This window comes from Homo sapiens, chromosome 3 (assembly GCF_000001405.40).
Source record: "Homo sapiens chromosome 3, GRCh38.p14 Primary Assembly".
Classification (NCBI taxonomy): Eukaryota; Metazoa; Chordata; class Mammalia; order Primates; family Hominidae; genus Homo; species Homo sapiens.
In genome coordinates, this window is record NC_000003.12 from 25,424,470 (window position 1) to 25,449,814 (window position 25,345).

The following is a 25,345-nucleotide window of genomic DNA, read 5'->3' on the forward strand; positions in this document are numbered from 1 at the left end:
CTGCTGGAACACACAAGTCACTCAGTACTAGCCATTTATTCTTCTGGCAGAACTGTGGCAAGAGGGGATTAACAGGGAAAAAAAATTAAAAAACAAACAAAAAGCCAAAACAACATGAAAGAGCTGGGCATGTCTTTAAAACAATCAGTGTCCACCTCCCCCAGCCCTGTGCCTGTGTCTGCCTGCACTTTGCATGTCTGCCCCTGTGGTGGGGGGGGATATGTCTGCGCCTCTGAAAATCTTCTTATTTAGACATCACAAGGTATTAGCCCAATTTTGAACACAGCCGGCTGCAGTACGGTGCACAGACACGACTGCTCTTTCTTCAGAAAACTCTCCAGTTCAAACATGTTTGCAGAGCATGATTCATGGTGTTTCTTTCTGGATTGTCCAGTGGGTAATTGCTGTACGAAAACCAGAGAAACAGATGTAGACCCTGAACCCTGGCTATAAATTTTTGTTTTATGATTATGGGTTTCAAATGTGCTGTGTCACACTGACAAATATACAGTTACTCTGAAACAAAATGGATTTTACTCTCAAAGTTTTGCTTTTTGTTTTTCACTTTTTGTTTGCTTGTTGGTTGGAAATACATTTATTAGATCATTGATCAAACACAAAGAAAATAGAGATGACACATATCAGAATGTTATTTTATGCCATAACAAGAAGATATTTGGGAAAGTTTCTTCCAACCCTGTGGCTAATGTTTAAAATGGGTGTCAGTAGTTTACATTTCATTACGGACAAATCGGTCTATTTTTCACTTTCTACCCTACTCATTAATCTTTATAGTGCACGGATCTGTATTTAAAGAATTATGGCTTATTTATGTATCTTTCCTTCATTTTACTTAAAATGAAGAATTTGGAGACAGAATCAAGTTTTCAAGAAGTGTAAGCATTTACTGATGAAGAAATAATTAGCATGTGGCTAAATCATGGGTCTGTTTTATAAATTAATACTTGGATTAAGTAATAGCTCTAATTATTGCTATCAGCATAATTAATTCATGATGAGGAATGATTAATTGACTAGCGAATATTGTCATATTATAAGAAACCCATACTATTCCTTTCATGGGGATTTAAATACTGATTATTCATTTCAAGGCCCAAGTTCATTTCTCAGTTGAGAACTTCAAGGTAATTATATATTTTACATTTTCTTGCACAAAGAAAGAAAACATCGAGTCGCCCAACCTTTACCACACACAGAGAGAGACACACTAATGTTGTTATTTTTGTGCAATGATACAGTATAGAGGTAAGAAATTCGGAAGCAGTGGTCTCGCTCAATGAGGCTGATTCCATAGCTTAAGAAATGAGAATGAACAGAATTTTGAGGACACCCATCCCCATCTTCACTTCCCTGGGACCAGTGCATCTCTACTCTTTGGAGAGATGTTAAGCAAGAATGTGCAGCAGCCTCCCCTGGATAACAGATCCCTGTACACACATACCTGTCAGTGATGCCATGTTTCTCATCTCTAACTTAAGTTTCTCCTGCTCTACTTCCAATATAGCTGTTTCCTCTTCTCTTGTCTAACAACTTTTCATCCACCTCCACTGTCCGGTAAAAATGAACTCAGTTTCCAAGGAACTCTAAGGACCTTAAATAAGCATTTGGAGCCATAAGCCTCATGGACCAAGTAGAAATTGGCACATAATGTAGTGCTTTGTGTATCTTTACAACTACCTTAATGACAGTGTGTTAAATGTTTTGTAAATTCCTCTGTGTTCTCTTGCTTAAAATGTGTGTTTTCTTTGTAGTTAAAGGGTTTCTTACAATAAGTCTCTGTTACAAAATGATGGCCATATAAAAGAGAGAAGAGAGGCGCAAAAATAACAAACACAGATTCAGCAAAAATCTCACCCCTTTATTGCCCTGAACTTTTCAATAGCAAGAACTGAGCTTGCTGGGCTGAAAATTGTTTTAATGTACCTTCATAAAAGGATCTTTGACTTGGTAAGTGTGTGCGATGCATACTTTTCATGTTACACCACAAGTGCCACTTAGCAACTCCACTAGACAGGGCAGTGTTTCAGCATGGGGTGGGGTGCCCCCTGACAGGCTTTTAAAAGGCCCGGATGCCAATGCACATTCCAACACTATCCACAAAAAGGAGACTGGAGCAGTGCTCTTCCCTGCATTGGGCAAGGAGACTCTCCCTCCCTGCCTAACCACTTGCCTGCCCTGTTTTGTGGGAGAATTACAAGTAAATGCTACAGAGGCAGTGGAGAAAAAAGGGTGTTTTAATTCCTCTCCAGAGTTTCCTTTATTTGATGTATGTTGCATCCTTTAAACAAGTTGTGCAAAATGGCTGCAGGGTAGATTGGCTCTCCCTTTTAAAGCTCTCCATCCGGCTGGGTTTATTTGTAAATACTGCATCTATCCTTCTTAGTGTTTTAGGACTGGCTGGAAAGACTCTTCTTCCTGTAGGTTGGGTCAGTGTGAGAGATCTAAAAAATCATTTTCCCTTAAAATTACTGTATTTTAATAAAAGGATTGGGCAGGGGCTGGAATGAGAGAAAACTGGTCCTTCAAAATGTAAAACTGTCATACTTAAACCAGTTTACAAAATATGCGTTTAATTATGTGGTGGGATGTGTGTAGGTGTATGATGAGAGAGGCAACCAACATGGCTATTTGGGGTGCAAGGATGTGGGAACAGGCAAGTAATTTTCACATTGGACTTTCATCCTAGGGAGCTGGGTTCTAGTCACAGCTCTGAGCTGTGTGACCTTGGGTAGGTCTCATCTCCCCGGGGTTTTGTTTCACCAGTTGAACAGTATGAGGATGAGTCACAGCTAACATTTGTTCCATGATATTTACCCAGCACCATACAAGTGTTATTTCTGTCCTCCCAGTTAACACTGACGTGGGTAGTATTATATGCCCATTTTACAGATGAGGAAACTGAAGCCTGAAGAAGTTAAATACTTATCCCAGAACACACAGCTGGTAAGTGGCAGACCTGGAATTGGAATCTAGTTCAGTTTGATTCCCCAACCCATGCTCTTGACCACTATACTGTTTTTTCAAGTCCAGATCTGAAATCTCATTTTCTGTGTGGCTGTGTGTTTGGGACAGGGGTAACCAATTCCTGACTACTCTATATGCTGCATAGAACCTGGAGAGGATTTTTCAAAGTAAATGAATCTCGAAAGCTGGATTGCAGAGCAAACGAGTGCAGTCAATTCAGCCAGGGGCTTGCAAGAGGGAGAAAGAGAAAAAGACTGTGGAATGGAAAGTTTCCCAACCCAAGCCTTTCCCAAGGGGTAGCCATTCTCTGTTCTACAGTTTAGGGCTTGCATGTGCTTTTTCTGGAGTGGAAAAATACATAAGTTATAAGGAATTTAACAGACAGAAAGGCGCACAGAGGAATTTAAAGTGTGGGCTGGGGGGCGAGGCGGTGGGCGGGAGGCGAGCGGGCGCAGGCGGAACACCGTTTTCCAAGCTAAGCCGCCGCAAATAAAAAGGCGTAAAGGGAGAGAAGTTGGTGCTCAACGTGAGCCAGGAGCAGCGTCCCGGCTCCTCCCCTGCTCATTTTAAAAGCACTTCTTGTATTGTTTTTAAGGTGAGAAATAGGAAAGAAAACGCCGGCTTGTGCGCTCGCTGCCTGCCTCTCTGGCTGTCTGCTTTTGCAGGGCTGCTGGGAGTTTTTAAGCTCTGTGAGAATCCTGGGAGTTGGTGATGTCAGACTAGTTGGGTCATTTGAAGGTTAGCAGCCCGGGTAGGGTTCACCGAAAGTTCACTCGCATATATTAGGCAATTCAATCTTTCATTCTGTGTGACAGAAGTAGTAGGAAGTGAGCTGTTCAGAGGCAGGAGGGTCTATTCTTTGCCAAAGGGGGGACCAGAATTCCCCCATGCGAGCTGTTTGAGGACTGGGATGCCGAGAACGCGAGCGATCCGAGCAGGGTTTGTCTGGGCACCGTCGGGGTAGGATCCGGAACGCATTCGGAAGGCTTTTTGCAAGCATTTACTTGGAAGGAGAACTTGGGATCTTTCTGGGAACCCCCCGCCCCGGCTGGATTGGCCGAGCAAGCCTGGAAAATGGTAAATGATCATTTGGATCAATTACAGGCTTTTAGCTGGCTTGTCTGTCATAATTCATGATTCGGGGCTGGGAAAAAGACCAACAGCCTACGTGCCAAAAAAGGGGCAGAGTTTGATGGAGTTGGGTGGACTTTTCTATGCCATTTGCCTCCACACCTAGAGGATAAGCACTTTTGCAGACATTCAGTGCAAGGGAGATCATGTTTGACTGTATGGATGTTCTGTCAGTGAGTCCTGGGCAAATCCTGGATTTCTACACTGCGAGTCCGTCTTCCTGCATGCTCCAGGAGAAAGCTCTCAAAGCATGCTTCAGTGGATTGACCCAAACCGAATGGCAGCATCGGCACACTGCTCAATGTAGGTTTATTTTTTTCCCTTCTTCTACCAAGAAAAAAAAAATTGTCTCTCTTGCATGCAATAAAGACGTTGGAAATAAACTGCATTGGTAGCAAGACAAAGGATTTAATGATTTAATGCTGAAGGGGTGTGATATGCTGGCATGCATATTGATTCCCTTTGCTGAAAATTTCCTGTTAGATGTTTTCTTCCCAAATAACCCCTCCCGCCCCCATGCTCCTCTCCTTACCAACCTTATAGTCTCTTGAAAACAGTTTTTAAAATATGCATAAAAATGTGGGGGGTGGGGAGTAGAGGGTGACCACAAGACTTTAAAACATTCTTCAAGTAGGGCAATTTGACACATTTTGCAGTTTTTACTAAAATGTATGCAGAGTGGAATTTAACTTTGCTGTTCTTTGGATTAGCTACTAGTTGTATAGGTCCCCCCACCCCTTGTGTATTCCAACAGTCCAAAGTAATTAAAATATGACATTTTCCTTGAAAGGAATTTAGTTTAATTAAGGTGGCTGCTGCTCCCGAAGTTCATAAACCACCAGTTCAAGCTGCCGCTTCCAATGTTTTCCTTGCTAAGGAAAGGCAATATTTCTTAGCATTGACCCTGCTGCCACCTTTCCAAGTCACTTTGTTGGTCTAAGAAGTTGCTGTTTTGCTAGAAAACTACTGGCAATGAACACCCCTTGGACTGAGCCATCCATTATTTCCATATCTTGCAGTTCAGCCCGGAACGTGGACATCAGTTAAAGGAAAGGAAATATAAGTGGGGTAGCCCAATTTAAAAAAAAAATATTGACTATTTTGTTATCTGATGCTGACACAGTGCCGAGGTACGCACCTGGTCAACAGTAGCCTGGCTGCAGGCTTGAGAAATGATCAGGAGTCCCAGAAAATCCCACCTTCGGGTGGCTGTAGTGGGAGCCTGCAGGATGCTTCGCCGCCCTGACAGTGATTTAGATAAATGGCTCAGCTATCTATCAAAATGTTTTTAGTACTTTATTTGACAATTCATTGGAGCATTAGCCTGAAAATGACATTTTAAATCTTTGTTTTCAAAGAGGTCAAAGTTTAACTGGAAGAAATTGAGTTTTCCTAATAACATGGTGGCTTATCTAAAGAGAGAAGAAAAAGGGGAGAGGGGACAATGACAGGATTTAAATTGCCCTCTCTGAAACTTTTTCTTAAGAATAAAGACTTGCTTCTTGGGCCGGGAAATCAACAGGTTTGTAGCTGAAAAATCAATAACCATTTGATGCCAACAGCCTGGCTGTCTGACTTAACATTTTGTAGAGCCATAAGCAGGGCAAAAAGAATATCGTTTTCAGAAGGCGCCTTAATCTTCAGCTGCTCCCCAAATGCCTTTTCTTTTTTGGTGCCCATTTTATTTCTGGAGAACTCAAAGAAACTGGAGTGTTACAAAATAATTTTCTAATCCAAGAAGAGACTTTTCAGACCTGTCCTCTTTGTAGCAATTAAAACAGTATGAACAATTTCTGTTGGAATCCCAGGGAACTGGGGCTCTCTGAAACTTTTTCTTGTTAGAGAAAGTGGTAATGAAACATGTTTTTTAACAGAAGGAAAAAATATGCTCAGGATCCTCGCCAAAAGTTATTAGACCTAATAGAGTTTTTACATGTAGACATTCTTCCTTTTGTAATTAACCTTCCAAAGATGCCTATTAAGTTGTAAGAGTAGGGGGAAAAGCTTTGTTTGTTCTTGGACAAGTTAAACAAGGGATTTGCTTTATCTAGGGAGAGCGAGCGGTGAATGTGTCATTCGCCTAAAACTACCCGATAAGCAAGAAGTGTTGATAACAGCAAAGTTTAGCTAATCAAAGAAACTTGCATTAGACAAAGTAAATAAAGGCATTTGACAAAGGGATTTCAGAAATTCCAGTGTCTTATTTTTGTAAGCAGGGCAATTAGTTCTTATTGTGGTCAGTTTCACAAGAGTTTGAATCCCACACCCCAACTTTAGGTTAAATGAATAAAATGTAAATATTGCTTGTGCCCTTGCAGAGTTGCTTTACCCTCATAAACCACTTTATGATGGTCAGTTGTTCCAACGATTTTTTTTTTTTTTTAGCATAAATAAAACTAAAACTTTTTTTTTTTTTTTTTTTTAGAGATTCTAACAAATGTCTTGTGCCATGCAGTGTTTGGTTCAGGGTGGTACAGCTAGTTAGGGCTATTGAAATAAAAGTATATTAGGGCTACATTTGTGTAAGTAAGAACATAACCACAACCTTTTCCATTTTACTTAATGGCTATTTTGACGAGAAGCAGATCTGTTTTTGCTTTTAACACAGAGGAAACAGTGGGCAAAGAAGAAAAAGTACTAAATTCCAACCAAAACTATTTTCTGCTTTGAGTTTTTTTTATGGTGTGTGTGTGTATGCATAGTAAATAAAGTAAGACCTTTGAACATGGAGCACACCATCACAAGCTCACTTTGAAAGGTGTTAAAATATTCCCTTTATTTTCTTTTTAATTTTAAAGGCAGAAAAATGATATGCCAGCCAGCTGCCATTTGTAGTAGTGTCTGTGAATTGCTTCTTATAAGCATTCAAAGTCAGGATTAGGGGACTACTAAGGGAATGTGGTCTAAATATTACGATTGACGACTGCCCCTGGAAGGTATAGGAGTCACTAAATTTCTGTTCAGATGTCTCCAGGATTATCTTGGTTTTAGGCGGCTCCAGATGTTTTCAACATTAATTGCTCAGTGGGTATAGGATAAATCTTAATATTTTGTGGTCTAAATATAGTTGCTTTGGTGAAATAACGAGTGTGACAACTTCTTGGCCTTTTTCCCTGTCTTTTCTCCCTACTCAACACATCAAAAGGAAAAAGAAAAAAATATTTTCTTTTTGAAATAGGACTTTGCCCATTAATGAGAAGAAATTATTTTTAAAACAACCAGTAGTGATGTTTGATTAGGGAATGAGAAAAGGCCTCTTTTCAAAGCCCTGGGACCCAAATTTTAAGTATTAAACAGTATCTAAATCCTCTCCTAGTGAGATATAAATTGGGGTCAAAGTGGCAAAATCAAAGATACCCTCTGAAAGAAAGACTAAATAAAGACTGACAGCCACCGTATGAATTGAATGGGGTTTTGAATAAATATTTCAGTGAAAAGGCCCAATTGTTTTTCTAAAGTAGGACATAATTTTCTGCTTCTCGGGCACATGACGGTGGTAACTAATACCATCAGAAAGAAGAGAAAAAGAGGGACTTTTCCTTAAATCGCAAAGAGAGTACAGGCAGGGTTGTGGGTTGTTCGAAAACAAGTGAAAGATTCACAAAGTTTTCCTTCCTTGTAGAAAAAAAGAAATCATATTGTGAATATTGGATAAATTGGTACATTTGACAAGGGAGTGAGTATTGATGTGCAACTTAGAAAAGAAAAAGCATGTGTTTAAATTTTATTGCCAGAAAAGGATGGATTCAAAAAACTAAACAGTAGAAAGGTAGACATCTGTTTGCCTAAACTTAAGCTATGGAATTGACTTGGAAGCTTTAGTTAGAATTTGATTTGCCAGCCAATAATGTAAAGCCCTTGCATTGAAGCAGGTCTTTTTTCCTTAATAGATAAATGACCAGAATGGCTATTTCTGATAGGCTAGCTGACCTGAATCAGAAGTTTCCTTCTCATTTCTAGAAGCCTGGCGCTGATATATACAACCGAGGGTATTGTTATGCACTTTTCTCTAAAGCGTAAGAATAAAAAAAAGTTCTTCTGGATATCAGATGTTTATAATTTACCTTCGACATATGTTAAGCTCTGAGGTGGCTGAAAAAGAAAGAAAACCTGTTTTCTCCTTTACACATTCCACAGATATCATTAAACTCTATCTGAGAAGGGAAATACATGATAAATAACAAAGATTATAAATTCTACTCTCAAGGAATTTATAATTTTTTAAATCAGTAATTTAGAAAAAGCTGAGAATTTTAAGTTACTCTTTGGGCAGAAGATGGAGATGTAAAAACCAAGATGCAAAATACAAAACTCTGTTCAAGTCACACAGGATTTTAACAATAAATGCAATGTTCATTTTAGAACATCTTAGAATCTTCTATACAGTTTGAGTTATGTGTAAGTGCCATACATTTATCCTTAAATGACATTTTTATACTTTAAATGTTCTAATATAAATTCAGTTAACTATCAATTAAATAGATTATTTCAGAAATGGGAGTTTTTGATGAAGGTTAATCAGAAAAATCTTGGCTGAAAACCTTTCCAAAGATATTAATGTAGATAGAATCTTGCCTTTCAAATTACAGGGTAGTTATGACAATCATGTATCTCTGATTTTCTAGAATAACCCACTTTCAAATATCCTGCACAGTTCCCACATAAATCATTGAAATATGCCAGATATTTAATATTACAACATCTCCTAGGAGTGGCACAGAAAGTCTTTGTTTGGATTCTATAGTCAATATAAGTAGAGCTCTCACAGCTTAATTTTTTCATTATGTCTGAAGATCGCCTTGTGTTTCTGGGTCATTCTTATGAACATGAATTCCTTTCGTAGCAAACTATAGATCTGTGAATAGAAGGCATTCCTTGCAAAATGGACTGGGCTGTGATTCTCACTCTAGCACCTGTGTGTGCGTGGACAGGGTGGGGAGGAGGGAGTAGAATTAAATTAAATTGTTATGAACAAATCTGTATCAGCCCTTGCCAGCTTCCTCTTAAAAAGTTGGAGCTGGGGTGATGGAGGGAGAAGAGTAGAGTTAACTCAGGTTTCAGATTTATCAGTATCCTGCTTGTAAGTGGCTTGGTCTAAGTACCTCTTGTTAAATAGGAGATGAGATAACCTGCCCCATCTGTAAGATCTAATAACACAACCTCATCAGTCAATATGTTGCTCTGAATTCTCCTCTTTTCATTCCCAGCTTCCTTACCCCATCATTAAAAAGCATGATCTCTGTCCCATCCCACTCCCCAAACCCCTTTAAATGAATGAAAAATAAAGTTGCAAAAGTTCTCTCTACCTAGGAAGCAGGAGAGCCTAAGTCTACTGGCATTTTGTCTTGAGCTTTCAGAGCTTCTTAGATGGGAAGTCAAACAGGCAATGGAACTGCTGACTTGCTCTTTCTCTGGCCCTGTAGGGTGGGGGAGCTACAAGGGGACCATTTAGTAAGATAAGACTCTCTGCCCCCTGCGCGATAAGGCGAGGATAACAGGAACTGACGTCAGCAAGGCGACTCAACCTGGCCAAGCATTTCCTCTAGTCAGGGCTCAGGGATTCCAGGAGTCTCTAGGCTTCCCCCAGCAGCTGAAGAACTGAACCAGCTCAGGGGAGGGAGAAAGAAGAAAGCTGATTTTTACAGGGGTGATAGTGGGTGATGATGTCCCTGATTTCCAAAAGCAGATTTCTTTGAAGAGAACAAAGAAAAACTGGGAGGAAGAAAGTCGTTTAATAAAAGTGGATTCTGAGATTATAATTGTCATTTTACATTGTCATAGAATAGATATTTGTGTTCCAGCTGTTAACAATTCACTGCTGATGTCTCATTAGACAGTCTATCCAGCGATCACCAAATATCATCCACTCACAAACCTCGCCAACTCTCCATATAGAACAAAACGTGAGGGATTTCACGTTGTCAGAGTTAATCCTTGGTACTCCTTTTTTTTTTTTTTTTCTTTTTTTTTTTTTGAGATGGAGTCTCGCCCTGTTGCCCAGGCTGGAGTGCAGTGGTGTGATCTCAGCTCACTGCAACCTCCACCTCCCAGATTCAAGTGATTCTCCTGCCTCAGCCTCCTGAGTAGCTGGGACTACAGGCGTGTGCCACCACACCTGGCTAATTTTTGTATTTTTAGTAGAGATGGGGTTTCACTATGTTGGCCAGGATGGTCTCGATCTCCTGACCTCGTGATCTGCCCACCTCGGCCTCCCAAAGTGCTGAGATTACAGGCGTGAGCCACCGAGCCCGGCCTTGTATTTACTTTTGAAAGTACAAAGTTCCCATCCCCATCTGCATCAGATGACAACATTGCTAAAGCCATTTCATTTGCTACCAGCCCTGAAACCACTTAGCAGTTTTCCTCCCCTTTTTCCTTCTTCCCTTTCTCTTAAACCCAGATTTATTTTCATTTTATTTTATTCTTTGCCTTCCAAAGTATCTGATTTGAGATTTGGAGGAGGAGAAAAGTCAAACAGAAGGATTTTATTTCTTAAAATTCACAGATTCTCCTCAGTCCACTGCTGTCTTAAAGATAGCTTCTTATTTTTTAAGTTTCAGTGTTTGACAAAGAATCACTGTCCTAATTTGACCCATATTTAGTGGAATGTTTGCTATGTTGTTGTTGATAAATTACTATTCATCACAGAATAAAATTTTGTCAAGTCAAAAAAATAGCTAAATTCAAAATAATGTGCAGGTAAAAGAACAAATAAGATGAGTGCATCGGTTAACTAGGGAGAGAAGATCTGGATCACATCCCAATTTTTTTCCCATTTCCAGAGCAAATGAAGACCTCATGTAATAAATTTGTCTTCTCAAAAATATTAAAGCTTTCAACGGCTACAGTACCTTTGTCATGTCATCAAAGTCCATAATTATAAAAAGGCCGATGATCTGAAGGCCATTTCAGCTTCAAAAGATTTTTTTAGGGGCTGGTCTATTGGAAAGCTTGGGGGTTTAATTAACTAAAATGGAAATGGAGGCAGCGAAATTCAGTTCCTGATGTTTTAATTTAGCTCAGTACTGCCATGTGTTATTGAAGAGAATTCTTAAAGGCAAACATAATTATTTCATTATGGTCCTCAGAATGCTTTCATTGGCTTTAATGACAAGAAGCTGTATAAAAAGGCATATATTTTAATTAGTCCTTTTTATATTTACATCAGATAAACAACAAATAATTGATGAAAAACAAGTCTTTGGAATGGATGATTTCACATAGTGCACTGGTTACAGTTTAATGATGAAACATTTCTCTGTTGCTTTGCATTTTAATTATATATACATTATATTACAGTAGTCGTGCCATGGAGCTACTAAAATACCGTTGTTGCCATTTTATTACAAAAAAAATCACGATTAATGCCTAGAAATTGAAAGCTGAAAAATGTAGCTAGACACATCTCCAAGGAAGTAAATTACCGGTTCCATTAATTTTACTACATTTGTTAGAACTCATTTTGATCACTTTTATCTTTTACGCTTCATCTTTTTGGATTAAGATCGTCAGGGGTTTCATATGCTTTTTTATGGCCACATCTTCTCCTGAGCACCTTTCTTTCGCTCTTGCTGCCTGTTTTGAGGATTTGCATGTGAAAGTGCCTTGCCAAATGTGCACTGGAAATTCAGAGAGCTTTTTTTCCATGCTATCGGCTTGCTTTACCTTTGATTTTATATGAAAACCCATTTCACATGATTCATCCGTTTTGGTGTACAGAACACTAATTGTTATTATTGATTTTAAATTCCGTGACCATTACAAGTAACCCAGATGACTGGCAGATAAAGGGTAATAATCCATGGAGTTCTGGAACTGTTTCATGTTTGTCTGGAGTACTTTATGTGATCAATATTAACTGCCCCATTGAAACTAACTGCTGTATCAAATAACAGTCAATCAAATGAATGTGCTTAGAGATTATTTATTGAAAGCTTTAATTGTTCACTGGGGCCCTCCTTATCAGGGGAAACAATACAAACTAGAGGTAGGATGAACAGGTTTGGATTTGCAGGGAAAGTTGGGGGATGCAGATGAACAAGGCATCTCTCTGCTTCTCGGGCAAGAGTTTCCAGAAACCCATGTTGGGCTTATAGTTCAGGCAGAAGTTGTGAATACTCTTCCAGAGCTTATCCTATCACCTGTACCTCAAAGGCTTTCTAGAGAAGGGGGTATAATAATTTTCTTGCACTCAGCAGAAGCTGTGAAAAGTTCTCCCTTTCCAAGAGTTTTACTGCTGCTTCTCCCTGGTCCTCTCAGAATTACCCTTCCATGCATCTCTCCACCTCTGCTTCCCCATCATGGCCTGATGGTCCAAGATAATGCAAGTAGCCTGCCTTGACACAGGATCGGTTTCTACAGCTATGAAATGGGAATAATAGTGTCTACATTGCAGGATCTGTAGAAGGATTAGAGATCATGTAAATTAAGATTCTATTCTTGTCTTGAAAACATATGGAAGTCACCAGGTAGGCCTTCTGCCCTGATTTTGGCATGACACCTGTGGCTTACGTGCCTTTGCTAAAAGCAAACTTTTTTTTTTTTTTTTTGGTCATATCTAAATTAGGTATCTCTTTTCTTTGGTGAAATGATCCCTCGGTCTATAGCTCATAACCTAGGTGGCAGTCCTTTCTGTTTGTCAGGTAGCACTGTGCCCTGATTCAGGGGCATCCATTTACCAGATCCCCAGATTTCTTGCAAATGATTGACTTTTACAAGTGAGCATTGTCACCTTCAAAGTTGTCACAATACACTTAGCCCAAAGATGCTGTCGTGGCACAGTACATTTTTATTGCTCATTGATGGATTAGTTTTTGCAACGTGCCATTCAGCAAATGGCTCTTGGGTGTCTGCCATGTGCCAGGCTCCTTGATATGATCTGTGGGGGACACCAAGATGAATCAGACACTGTCCCTTCTCCCTCTGAACTCATGATATAATGGGAAGAACTTGTGACACAAGTCGTTGTCACATAACCCCCTTATAACAAACCCAAAAATCTCCCCATGTCTTTGAACCTAAGATTGATAATGGAAAGAACTAAGAACTGCCAAGAACCACAGCTGGTTTATATGGTGGGTGATCAAGTGGATTATACATTTTTGTCACAGTGGAGCGGGCGTGAAGTTTTTCTGTGTGCAGGCCTCATAGATCATCTCTAAAAGTAGTTCACAAAGGAGTTCTAAACCTATCTTACACAGTGGAATAAGTGCACACCTTCCAAACTAGCTTCTTGAAGACTTTCATGTGGATGTTTCTGGAGCGTGTTAAGTAATCATGTTCCTTGGGGATGGGTTTGATTCTATTGGATTTTTAAAAATCACTTATTTCTCTATGATTTCTGTGACTTATTCCTGTGTAACAAACCATCCCAAAACTTCCTGGTCTAACAATTTATTATGACATTATTCTGTGGATGGGCTGGGCTCCGCTGGGCAGACCCTCTGCTCCGCATGCTGTCAGCTGGGGCTGAATCATCCATGGCTAAATTGGGCTGGCAATCCAAAAAGTCTCACTCTCATGGCTGGTGGTGGATGTTGGTTGTCGGTGAGAGCTCTAGGGGATCTGCATGTGACTTGTGCATGTCACAGCATGGCAGCAGTATTCCGAGAGAGAGTGTTTCGAGAGTGAACCTTCCAGGAAGGAGGCAGCAGAGGCTCCCAGTCCTCTTAAAACCTAGACCCAGAGAGTGGTATACAGTCGCTTTCACTATATTCTGCTGGTGAAGCAGACACAGGGCCAGCCCAGATTCAATAACTACCTTTCAGTTTGGGAGAGAAAGGCAAAGAATGTCCACCATAACAATCGTAGCGTATATGCACTATAACAAGAAAGAAAGTATTGTCTTCTGAAAATGATTAAATTAAAGAACAGTTGTGGGGCTTTTAGTTTTTTGGTTGGTTCCATGTTTAATGAAATGCTACTCTAATGACAACATACATCATTTTCAGTTAATCCTCACAACCCTATAAGTGAGATGTCATCTTCATTTTACAGATGAGGAAATGGAGGCTCAGGGAAGGTGAATAACACGGATTGTAAGGGGCAGAGTGTGGTTTCAAGTCCCATGAAAGGCTTTTCTCTAGGCTCCATGTGCTGTTACTCACTTGGGGGTCCTCAGCTTCAGGAGTTGTCATCCTGTCAGCTGAGTGAAGAATTCCTGAAAAATGTTTCATGCCCTAATAATCCCAAGAATAAAACACCATCGAGTGTTTTGGTTAAGGGGAAAGGTAGGAAAAAGAGAGGTAAAGAACTGTAACTCGCATAGCTTCCTCTGATTACATTATTTTCTCTACTATAAACCAGTCTTTTACATTGTGGAGGAAACTCTGCCCAAACTATGAGGCTATTTTACTCTTTTGCCCTTTTGTTTTTACATCCTGTTTGCTGTTGAAGTCTACGCTGGCCTAGTCACTGCTGTAGCTCAGGGGGTTCAGACCAGGATTAGTCTGGTATTTACTGAAGAGTCACAAGAAGATGAGAGATGGGAAACTGGGCTTTTCATGTTACTCTAGTTTACTGGTAACCCTTATCTAAAGATGGGTGCTAAGTGTTTGTGCTAGAGAGTGTCTCTTCATTAAGTGGAGCTATTTTGTCTTCCACTACCAAAAGCAAAAAAGTAAAAGACAAAGAGGAAGAAAGAAAACTTTCTGATAGTAAAGTCGAATTAATGTTTATTTGCTAGGTATTTTAAGTATCTATTGTGTGCAGAGGATCCCAAACCTAAGTTAACCATTACCATTTAGTGAAACTTACATGAATCATAGTGCATCTAATTGGCCTCTCAGATAATGCTCTCATTTCAGTGACTTCAAACATGTCTTATTTTTTATTTTTTTGAGACAGGGTCTCGCTCTGTTGCCCAGGCTGGAGTGCAGTGGTATGATCTCAGCTCACTGCAGCCTCAACCTGCTGGGCTGAAGCAATCCTCCCGCCTCAGCCTCCCATGTAGCTGAGACTACAGGTGTGTGTCATCACACCTGGCTAGGTTTTTGGAGAGAGAGGGTTTTACCATGTTGCCCAGGCTGGTCTTAAACTCCTGGGCTCAAGCAATCTGCTTGCCTTGGCGTGTCAAAGTGCTGGAATTACAGGTGTGAGCCACTGTGTCCCGCTCAAATATGTCTTAAATGGAATGTATTCTGTATTTTGAATTTTCATATACCGTATTCTACCTGTTTCTTTTGTTTGAAATCTAATTGTTGCTGAATTATATATTTTGAGGAAAAAGAGACAGGTGGACAAATTGAAGTGACTTGCTAGAAGTCGTGTAGTGGGTTCTAAGTGGAAGCAGATCTAAATCTGTAAGACGCTAACATGTGATGCAGTGAAATACAGCATGGTACCCTGCAGTGTGATACAGTGAGGTTGGGTAGACATTCTTCGTGCACTGTACCTGCTGTGGAAGCTTGAGCTCCAGGTTTTGTTTTGGTTTTTTTCTAATCTTTAAAATGAATCCATAACACCTCCCTTGAAAGCCTAAGATCAGTCTTAAAGCCTTAAATAAGACAATGTATTTGACACATGATGCTCAGTAAATAGATTGTTTTTACATATATACATAGTTGTCAATAAGAAACTTGTTTTAGGCTTGCATGGCGACTCATACCGGAAATTCTAGCACTTCAGGAGGCCCGAGGCAGGCAGATCACTTGAGCCTAGGCACTTGAGACCAGCCTAGGCAACACGGCAGAACCCTGTCTCTACAAAAAGAATTATGTGGCCGTGGTGGCACGCACCTGTAGTCCTAGCTACTCGGGAGGCTAGGGTGGGAGGATAATCGGAGCCTGGGAATGTTGAGGCTGCAGTGAGCCGGGATTGCACCACTGCATTCCAGCCTAGGCAACAGAGGGAGATCCTGTCTAAAAAATAAAAAAAAAAAAAGAAATTTATTTAAAAAAAAAATCCAGGCCAGGCATGGTGGCTCACACCTGTAATCCCAGCACTTTGGGAGGCCGAGGCAGGTGGATCACAAGGTCAGGAATTCGAGACCAGACTGGTCAATGTGGTGAAACCCCGTCTCTACTAAAAATACAACAATTAGCTGGGCGTGGTGGTGCCCGCGCCTGTAGTCCCAGCTGCTCAGGAGGCTGAGGCAGGAGAATCGCTTGAACCGGGGAGGCGGAGGTTGCAGTGAGCCGAGATCGCGCCACTGCACTCCAGTCTGGATGACAGAGTAAGACACCGTCCCCCCCAAAAATAAAAAATTAAAAAAAAATCCAAATGCTAGCATTGTCCAGAAAAATTTAACAGATTTATTTATAATTATTATAAAGTTGAACTACTGAACCTTGTTCACTGAAACATTTTGATTTGCATTAATGCTTTACATCCCCACATTTATATTAAAAATTCACACGCAAATGAAGATGGAAAAACTGCCAATACCTAATTTCTGTCCTCTATTTTTCCACTTGCAATCATATACCTAGGTACCTTTTGACTGCATTAGAAAAAAATACCTAATATTCAGAACTACCAATAACAGGAAGAAGAAATTTTTTTTCGGGGGGGTGGGTGGGAATGAAATGTTTCCCATCATAGTGGACTCCTAAGCACGTTCTCTACGTATGCAGTGTGCTGATGTCTTCTGGCATAATTGTTAAACGTTTGATATGGATAACACACAGGTTAGTGCCCTCAAAAAGGCCAACCAGATAGGCCTCACTTGGCTCCTGCAAAGCACCAGTAGCTGCGCTCTGGAAGCTCAGATCTGTTTTAAAGTCCTGAGCAATTTCTTGCACCACATATTGGAAGGGAAGTTTGCGAATCAGTTCACTGGACTTCGTATAAAGCCTAATTTCACGGAGTACCCCAGTCCCAGGCCTGTAACAATGAGGTTTCTCCACCCCGCCAGTAGAGGGCGCACTCTCGTGAATGGCTTTTGTGGCCAGTTTCTTCCCGGATGCTTTTCCACGGGTTGGATTTTCGAGTAGTGTGCTTTGTAGGAACCGTGGTATGGACACCTCCTTACTTTCCCCCTTCTCCTTCGCCCAGAGCTCGGCGAACTAGAGGTGGCGCTGGCGTCAGAGAGCCCCAACTGCAAATCCAATTCCCCGATATTTTATGAATTTTTTTTAATGCAGAAAAGTTACAACAGCTTTACTGCAAACACCTGGATACCTACTGCCATAGCTACCATTAAAATTACCAGGTTTCTTTTCTGTGTTCTCACCCTTTTCTCCTTTTGCATATGTTTGTTTTGTTTTGTTGACTGGGTCTTCTCACTAAACTGAGAGTCTTTGAGTTCAGGTATTGTGCTTTTTACCTCTGTTTTCCCAGTGCTAATATAGTACTTGGTCTATGATCCTCAGTAAACTATGGTTGAACCCACATGTATGTTCTAATAAACAACCCTTTAATATACTCGATATCAGTGCCCTTCAATAGAACTTCCTACAATGAAGTTTCCAATGATGGAAAGGATCTATAATTCTACATTGTCTAATATCATAGTCGCTAGCCATTTATGGCTGTTGGAATTTGAAATGCGGTTAATACAGCTGAGGAAGTGACTTTTTAATTTTATTTTATTTTTATTTATTTATTTATTTATTTATTTATTTATTTTTGAGACGGAGTCTCACTCTGTTGCCTAGGCTGGAGTGCAGTGGTGCTATCTCGGCTCACTGCAACCTCCGCCTCCCGTGTTCAAGCCATTCTCCTGCTTCAGCCTCCTGAGTAGCTGGGATTACAGGAGCGCGCTACCACGCCCAGCTAATTTTTGTGTTTTTAGTAGAGACGGGGTTTCATCATATTGGTCAGGCTGGTCTCGAACTCCTGACCTCATGATCCACCCGCCTCGATCTTCCATAGTGCTGGGATTACAGGCGTGAGCCACCACACCTGGCCAATTTTATTTTATTTTAATTAATTTAACTTTCAATAGCCACACATGGCTAGTGGCTACTGTATTAAACAATTCACTTCTACATACTTCAGCTATTATTATTCTTTCAGTATTTGTTCATTTTCTTTATTTCCTTTTTCCCTTCAGCCTTTACTCTTCTCTCCTATGGCTATTAACAAGCTCTAATTATCCCTTTATGTAGCAGGTAAACAGACTGCAGGAAAATGTAAACAGAATGCTGTAGGGTGGTGATTTCAGTCATTGTTTAACTCCTTTTCCTTCTGGGTGGAACTATTTTTCCTGGGGCCTGGCAAGTATTTAGCACTTGTTTTGCTAACATTTAGTTTGCACAGCTAAACCAAGATTTTTGCAGAATCTCAGTGGGCGGGAATTACATTCCCTGTAGCAATCAAATCATGGAGACATACGATGTCTATTCCCGTGCTCCACACCTGCTTGGTTTTGAGATGGGCAGAGTATCTCCCAACATTTTCAAGCTTTCAACTCAGCTTGAACATTTCAACAAACTTCAGGGAGGCAGAGAGGAACTGGCCATATTCTATGGAAGCCTCAGTTTGCCTTCTGGGAAATACCATGAGCTCTCCCCCGGGTGCCTCCTCCTGCTTACGTGTGTCCTCTGCTCATAACCCAGAGTGCGGCACACAGTAGGTGCTCAGAAATATGCTGAGTGTAGTTCAGTGAAAACGAAATTGAGAACATCTCAAGTGAGCTAATATTTTTTGGTTATTCAAAACACCTCTAGTAAACTTGATGGGGGCTGTCAAAAACTTGGGAGGTTCAGTTTGGCTGGGATGGCAAAGTAAGTAAGCCCTTATAAGTGCATTTGCTGGCAAACTGGCCTGAAAACATGAGAGTGGAATATTTCCCTGGGCTACTGGCACTTACTTTGAGGTCACAGAAATAGATTTTCTGATGGTACTTCCTGTTAGCCAGGACATTATTGCTCCCCCTTGTCCCCCCCACCACCCCTTTTTTTTTGGCCTATCCCTAGAAATGGTGTGAAGAAAGTAAATAAAAATAAAGCTAAAGCGCGCCGGTAATCTCAGCTACTCAGGAGGCTGAGGCAGGAGAATCGCTTAAAACCCGGGAGGCGGAGGTTGCAGTGAGCCAAGATTGCACCATCGTTCTCTAGCCTGGGCGACAGACAGACAGTCCATCTAAAATATATATAAAAAAAAAAAAATGATAAAGCTAAAGGACCGGTTGCGGTGGCTCATGCCTGTAATCCCAGCACTTTGGGAGTCTAAGGTGGGCAGATCACCTGAGCTCAGGAGTTCAAGACCAGCCTGGCCAACATGGTGAAACCCTATTTCTACTAAAATACAAAAATTAGCTGGGCGTGGTGATGGGTGCCTGTAATCCCAGCTACTCGGGAGGCTGAGACAGGAGAATCACTTGAACCCGGGAGGCAGAGGTTACAGTGAGCCGAGATAGCACCACTGCACTCCAGCCTAGACAACAGAGCTAGACTCTGTCTCAAAAAGTAATAATAATAATAATAAAATAAATAAATCGCTAAAACAACTCTCAAGAGAAACTTTTGAACCACGGTTTGCTTCCCCACCCCCATGATTTAAAGTTGCGATTGATTTTTATTAAAGTAAAACAATCACTATCATAATTAATATTTATTAAGTGCTTATTATGTGTCAGGTGCTTAAAATGAACCATGTCATCTAGTCCTCAGAGCAGCCTGAAGAGAAAGGCCCTGTTATCCCCACTTTGCAGACGCAGATTCCTAGGCACTGAGAGGTTCAAATACCTACCTTGAATCTCCCGAGTAGGAGAAAGTGAGTCCAAAGTTCCCAACTCAGCTTTGTATAATGTAGGGTTCCTTTTCTTTGCCAACGATATAAATTTCTATTTTGTTTGCAGGGAAGAGGGATGGGGAAGATTAGAAGCCTCAGAACCCACAGAATAATAAAAGGGTTAACAAGTGAAAGCTGGAAATAATACGTTTTTAACAAAATGGGCAGTTCTTCTAATTGCTGTGCCCCTACTGTTCAATTCCTTTTTATGTCCTAATTCATTAAATTATGTACACATCAGGCTTATTATTTACAGATGTATACACTTCCAAGTGGCTCATATGAAACAGATGTTTCATGAAAGGTAACAGAGAACAAGTGATCTAAACCCTCCTTTAGTGGGTATCAAGTGAGTATTATGGCCTATTACCTGCAGGTCTTTTGCTATTATTTTGAACTGCAGTGTCCAGTACGGGCAGGAAGATTCAATGTATCTCCTGTAGGAACAAGTAAAAATACAACAGCACTATAAGCAAACATCTGCATCTCAAAATAAAAGAGGGTATGTGCAAGTGATAGGCAGGTGGTATTCACATTTGGGCTCCGGTAGATGTGTGAGTCAGTTTTACAAGCAATTTGAGAAAAAGAGACCCATTGCATTACAGGAGGTGAGGTGTATTGAGCAGACCATCTTTAGAGACCAGTGTTACCATATCAGTTAGCTGGAGAAATGAATGAACACCTCTTTTCTTTTTTCTTTTTTTTTGGAGACAGAATCTTGCTCTGTCGCCCAGGCTGGAGTGTGGTGGTACGATCTCAGGTCAGTGCAACCTCCGCCTCCCGGGTTCAAGTGATTCTCCTGTCTCAGCCTCCTGAGTAGCTGGGATTACAAGCACACATGACCACACCTGGCTAATTTTTTGTATTTTAGTAGAGACGGAATTTCACTGTGTTGCCCAGGCTGCTCTTGAACTCCTGAGCTCAGGCAATCTGCCCGCCTCAGCCTCCCAAAGTGCTAGGATTACAGGCATGTGCCACCCCGCCCAGCCAAACACCTCCTTTTCAAAACAAGGTTAACATGGCCTAATTAAAATAAGCATGACCAGTTCACCACGTTGCCGTAAACTGGGTGGCATATGTCAGTAGACAGTTATTTCATACTTCTTCAGAATATCAAAGAGCAGTCCGGACGCATAGCTCACGCCTGTAATCCCAGCACTTAGGAAGGCCGAGACAGGTGGATCACTTGAGGTCAGGAGTTCAAGACCAGCCTGGCCAACATGGTGAAACCCTGTCTATACTGAAAATACAAAAAATTAACCTGGCATGGTGGGGGCACGCCTGTAGTCCCAGCTACTCGAGAGGCTGAAGCAGGAGAATTGCTTGAGCCCAGGAGGCAGGGGTTGCAGTGAGCCGAGGTCGCGCCACTGCACTCCAGCCTGGGTGACAGGGTGAGACTCCTTCTCAAAAAAAAATAATAAGGAATATCAGAGAGCAATAATAATTGCCTCTCAAAGTCCACAGTGAGAGTTATTATTTATAAATTGTCAGGAGTTCTCTAAACAAGAACAAAAAAGCAATTGGAGCGAAAAGATGGCTGGAATTGTGTCATTTTGGACGTTGAAAGCTGGGAACAGTTACAACTGAAATATTAAATGGGACATGAAATATTAAGTGACATACCAGGTTTATTGCATATATGACCATGAGAGTGCATTTCATTTTGTCTTATGGAGCTCTAAAAAAATCCATGTAATGGATTAAAGGTATTAAAACTCCCATATTCTCCCTGGCTCTACGCCAGGGAACAAAGCATGATAAATAATCCCAATAGACAGAATATGTGGGAAGGAATTTTAAAATGTATTTATGGCGGACATATTGACCTCCCTAACTAATAAAAATGTATACATGAGGTTTTGAAGAAAATGTGTAGCCCTTACAACACACTGTAGTGTTAGTATCTTTAAAATATTACCCACGTCTCTGTGACATATGGCTGTCATCCTCTGTCTTTACCCTGGAAGTGAGGAAATGCATGAATTTTATAGTAACATGTACAGTCACTGTTAGGAGGAATAGTTTTTATTTCCTTTATCTTAAAGCTGGGCTGAAAACTACACCAAATCTGGATTTTGTAAATAAAGCTTTCTTGGAATGTGTCACACCTATACATTTACATTTTGTCTGTGACTGCCTTCCCCCATGGGGGGCAGAGTTGAATGACTGTGACAGAGACCAGACAGCCCACAAAGCCTAAAGTATTTCCTATCTGACCATTTACAAAATTTGCAGACCCTGCCTTAAAACATTAAAAAATGGGCCGGGCGCAGTGGCTCACGCCTGTAATCCCAGCACTTTGGGAGGCCGAGGCGGGCAGATCAAGAGGTCAGGAGATTGAGACCATCCTGGCGAACACGGTGAAACCCCATCTCTACTAAAAATACAAAAAATTAGCCGGGCGTGGTGGCAGGCGCCTGTAGTCCCAGCTACTTGGGAGGCTGAGGCAGGAGAATAGCGTGAACCCGGGAGGCGGAGCTGGCAGTGAGCCGAGATTGCACCACTCCACTCCAGCCTGGGTGACAGAGCCAGACTCCGTCTCAAAAAAAAAAAAAAAAAAAAAAAAAAAAATTAAAAAATGAATAGGACTGTTAGGAATATAAATGTGTACTTGGTTTCTCATTTATACTAATCTTGCGTGTGGATTCAGGGGATGAACTCACTTTCAGTTCATTTCCTAACTGTGTGACCTTGGCCAAGTCATTTAACTTCTCTAAGCTTCAGTTTCCTCAGGTGAATAACAGAGATTTAAAAAAAGAAAAAAAAAAACTGATCGTGTTAATAATCCTTGCTCTTCACACTTTTGTTAGGAGGCAGCAAATGGGGTAATGTGTGTGAAAACACCCCTCAAGTTGTCCCCCGCCATATAAAGTGTGCTGTTGGCAGATTCTGCTGAACTGGCTGAAAGTATTTATTTCACATCACATGTAAGGATTTGTATGCAGATTTCATTTTTTTAATTCTTTTTTTTTTTAACCAACACTGATTGAACTTTTGATATGTACTGGACACTCTTTTAGCCCTGAGTATTTAAAGTCAAGGCCGCCAAAATCTTTGTGTATGCTAGTAACACACCCACTCATGACAGCCTCTGACCCCCATCAGATCCTTTTTCTAGCTGGGGCCATGTTTGCCTTGTGGCATTTTTCAGTTGTCTGTTTGCGTGGGCAGGAGATAGTGTATTCTAACTTCTTTATAAACCAGCATGTATCAAGGGGTCTGGTCCCTGGCAGGTGCTCAATAAATGTTTGTCAGCAGTTGATGTTGCTGACTGATAATCACTGCCTTCTGCTCCCCAAACCACCTTGGTCCTTGCAATGATTTGGGACTTTGGGTTTTGAACAGCAATTGAAGGCTCTCCAATGAGAGATCGCTGTGGTAAAGAGGGGTTTAAAGAAGCCATTTCTGAGGGGGCTAGGCAGCCTGGATTGGGGATTGGCCAGGAAATCCTACGAGGAATGAGAGCACTTCTGATTAATGCCTGTGGGCCTGGGAAGGAAAGGACAGCTGAGAGAGGGAAAACTGACATGACTTGCTTTCCTCACATTAGTTTTTAGAGAATCTCTTAGGTACATCAGAAGGGAAAATTATTTTGAGAGGGAAAATGGAAGTGAAGGTCACCAAATCAAGATGGGGAAAGAAGGGAAGGTGAATAGCATTGAGATTCATCAGCATAAGCATGATACAATAATGATAATAATTGCTTGTGTAACACTATTATGTGGCAGGCATTGTGCAAAGTACTTTAAAATGATGTTATTTAATGCTCACAATGATGCAATGAAGAATATACTATCATTTTATACAAGCAGAAATTGAGGCTCAGAGAGGTTAAGTAACTTTCCAAAAGTCACACAGCCAGTAAGTAGGAGAGTGAGGATTTGAATCCAGGAAGGCCGACTCCCGAGTTCATACTTCCAACCATATGCCTCAGACAACTTGCCTATAAAGGTGGACAAGTTTCGGGAATATCAAAAAAAGACCTGAACCTTGGGGGACTGCTCTCAATTGGAAGGTTGGTGAAAATGTCTTTGAATTATTTTTTCAAGATTTTCTTAACATTTTTAAAAAAGAAATAATGCTAAAGCACTTTGAAACTCTTAGCTTTCTCATACCTAGGAATCACTGCTCTGAAGGAAAAAAAATAACCAACAATGTAGCATTCCTGTAGTTTGAACAGTTCTATATAGAAACTTGAGAATCTTTTCTTTCTTTTTGTTTTTTGAGACAGAGTTTCACTCTTGTTGCCCAGGCTGGAGTGCAGTGGTATGATCTCGGCTCACCACAATCTCTGCCTCCCAGGTTCAAGCAATTCTCCTGCCTCAGCCTCCCGAGTAGCTGGGATTGCAGGCATGCACCACCACACCCAGCTAATTTTGTATTGTTAGTAGAGATAGGGTTTCTTCATGTTGGTCAGGCTGGTCTCAAACTCCCAGTCTCAGGTGATCCGCCTGTCTTGGCCTCCCAAACTGCTGAGATTATAGGCGTGAGCCACCGTGCCCGGCCGAGAATCTTTTCAAATGAAATATCAAGTGCATCCTTTGAACTGATGCATTATGTATTAGCCAAGTAGAGGGCACAGTAAGGATGTTCAGTGTCTACTTCAAGTTACTCCTCTCACCCCCCTCCACCCCCGCAATCCCCAGACATCTTGGGAAAAGAGTCATTCAGCCCCTCATTTGGGGCGTGCTAGTTCTGTAGACAGTGACAGAAAAGCTATTGCACAACCAATTCTGGATATTGGGTTCATTCTTGTGCCAAATAAATTTTGGTTAAGGGAGTATATGTGGCCTTCAGGTGAGGGAAGGAGAACCTGCGTAGGGGCTGGGGGCTCAGAGTCCTCTCCTCCTCTGCCTCCCCGAAGAGCCCTGGAGCTGGTGGTTGTGCAGACTCCATTTGGCCTGAGTGACTGCTCCTGACAGTGTTCAGCCACACGCCGTTGGACTGCCGCCAGAGGCCTTTGGAATCTTGGTCTTAGCTGCTGCCATTCTCCCTGCTGAGGGCTGGGTTCTCAGCAGGGAACATGCAGAAGGGGTTAGTGAGTGTGTTTGTGTGTGCCTTCTAATTCCTGTGTTTGCTTCTGGGGGACTTTCCTATTTTATTGCTCTGACTGGAAAGAAAACAGGGCATTATTTCTGTCTCCTTAACTTCTTTCTTTTGAATTTTCCAGTTTTACTTTTGTTCTTTATGCTGGGTTAACTGTGTGTCTGTCTGTCTGACTTAGACGTACCCTGCATACTCTAAAACTTCCTGCCAGGGACAGCTGCTTGTGACAGGAGTTCTGCACAGTCCTAAGAGGGGATGTCATAGTCTTCTCTCAACATGGGGGTCAGACCCATTCCCTTGAACTTAAGACCATTTAAGTTCAAATCCATGCTTTTTATTTAGCAGCTGTATGGCCTTGAACAAGTTACCTAACCACATTATACCTCTGGTTTCTTCTTGCCTGTCAAAAAGAAATAGTAAAACTAGACTAGCAATCTCTTTCTCTCTCTCTTTTTTTTTTTTTTAGACGGAGTCCTGCTGTGTTGCCCAGGCTAGAGTGCAATGGTGC

At 41.2% G+C, this 25,345-nt stretch overlaps 1 protein-coding gene and 1 pseudogene across 9 annotated transcripts in view, besides 1 other annotated feature; one reads left to right on the forward strand and one right to left on the reverse strand.

Moving 5' to 3' along the window:
* Window positions 1–25,345, forward strand: part of RARB (retinoic acid receptor beta) — a 768,612-nt gene that overhangs the window by 595,149 nt on the left and 148,118 nt on the right. For 5 of the 9 annotated variants that reach the window (NR_110893.2, NR_110892.2, NM_000965.5 and 2 more), the window contains exon 1: window positions 3,794–4,419. The exons of 2 other annotated variants lie outside the window; for them this stretch is intronic. Coding sequence is in view for 3 of the 7 variants with exons in the window: in NM_000965.5 (NP_000956.2) it covers window positions 4,263–4,419 (157 nt within the window). In the remaining 4 variants the exon portion in view is untranslated. Of the gene's footprint in view, window positions 1–3,793; window positions 4,420–25,345 lie in introns of those variants that run through there. 2 more of the 9 variants (NM_016152.4, NM_001290266.2) reach the window with 1 other exon arrangement.
* Window positions 2,855–3,692: an enhancer, noted in NCBI's record as "H3K27ac hESC enhancer chr3:25468815-25469652 (GRCh37/hg19 assembly coordinates)". NCBI's record gives its function as "activates a minimal SCP1, AML or CMV promoter by ChIP-STARR-seq in primed H9 embryonic stem cells {active_cell/tissue: H9 hESC(primed)}" and the evidence as "EXISTENCE:reporter gene assay evidence [ECO:0000049][PMID:30033119]".
* H3P10 (H3 histone pseudogene 10) lies at window positions 16,495–17,147 on the reverse strand (annotated as a pseudogene).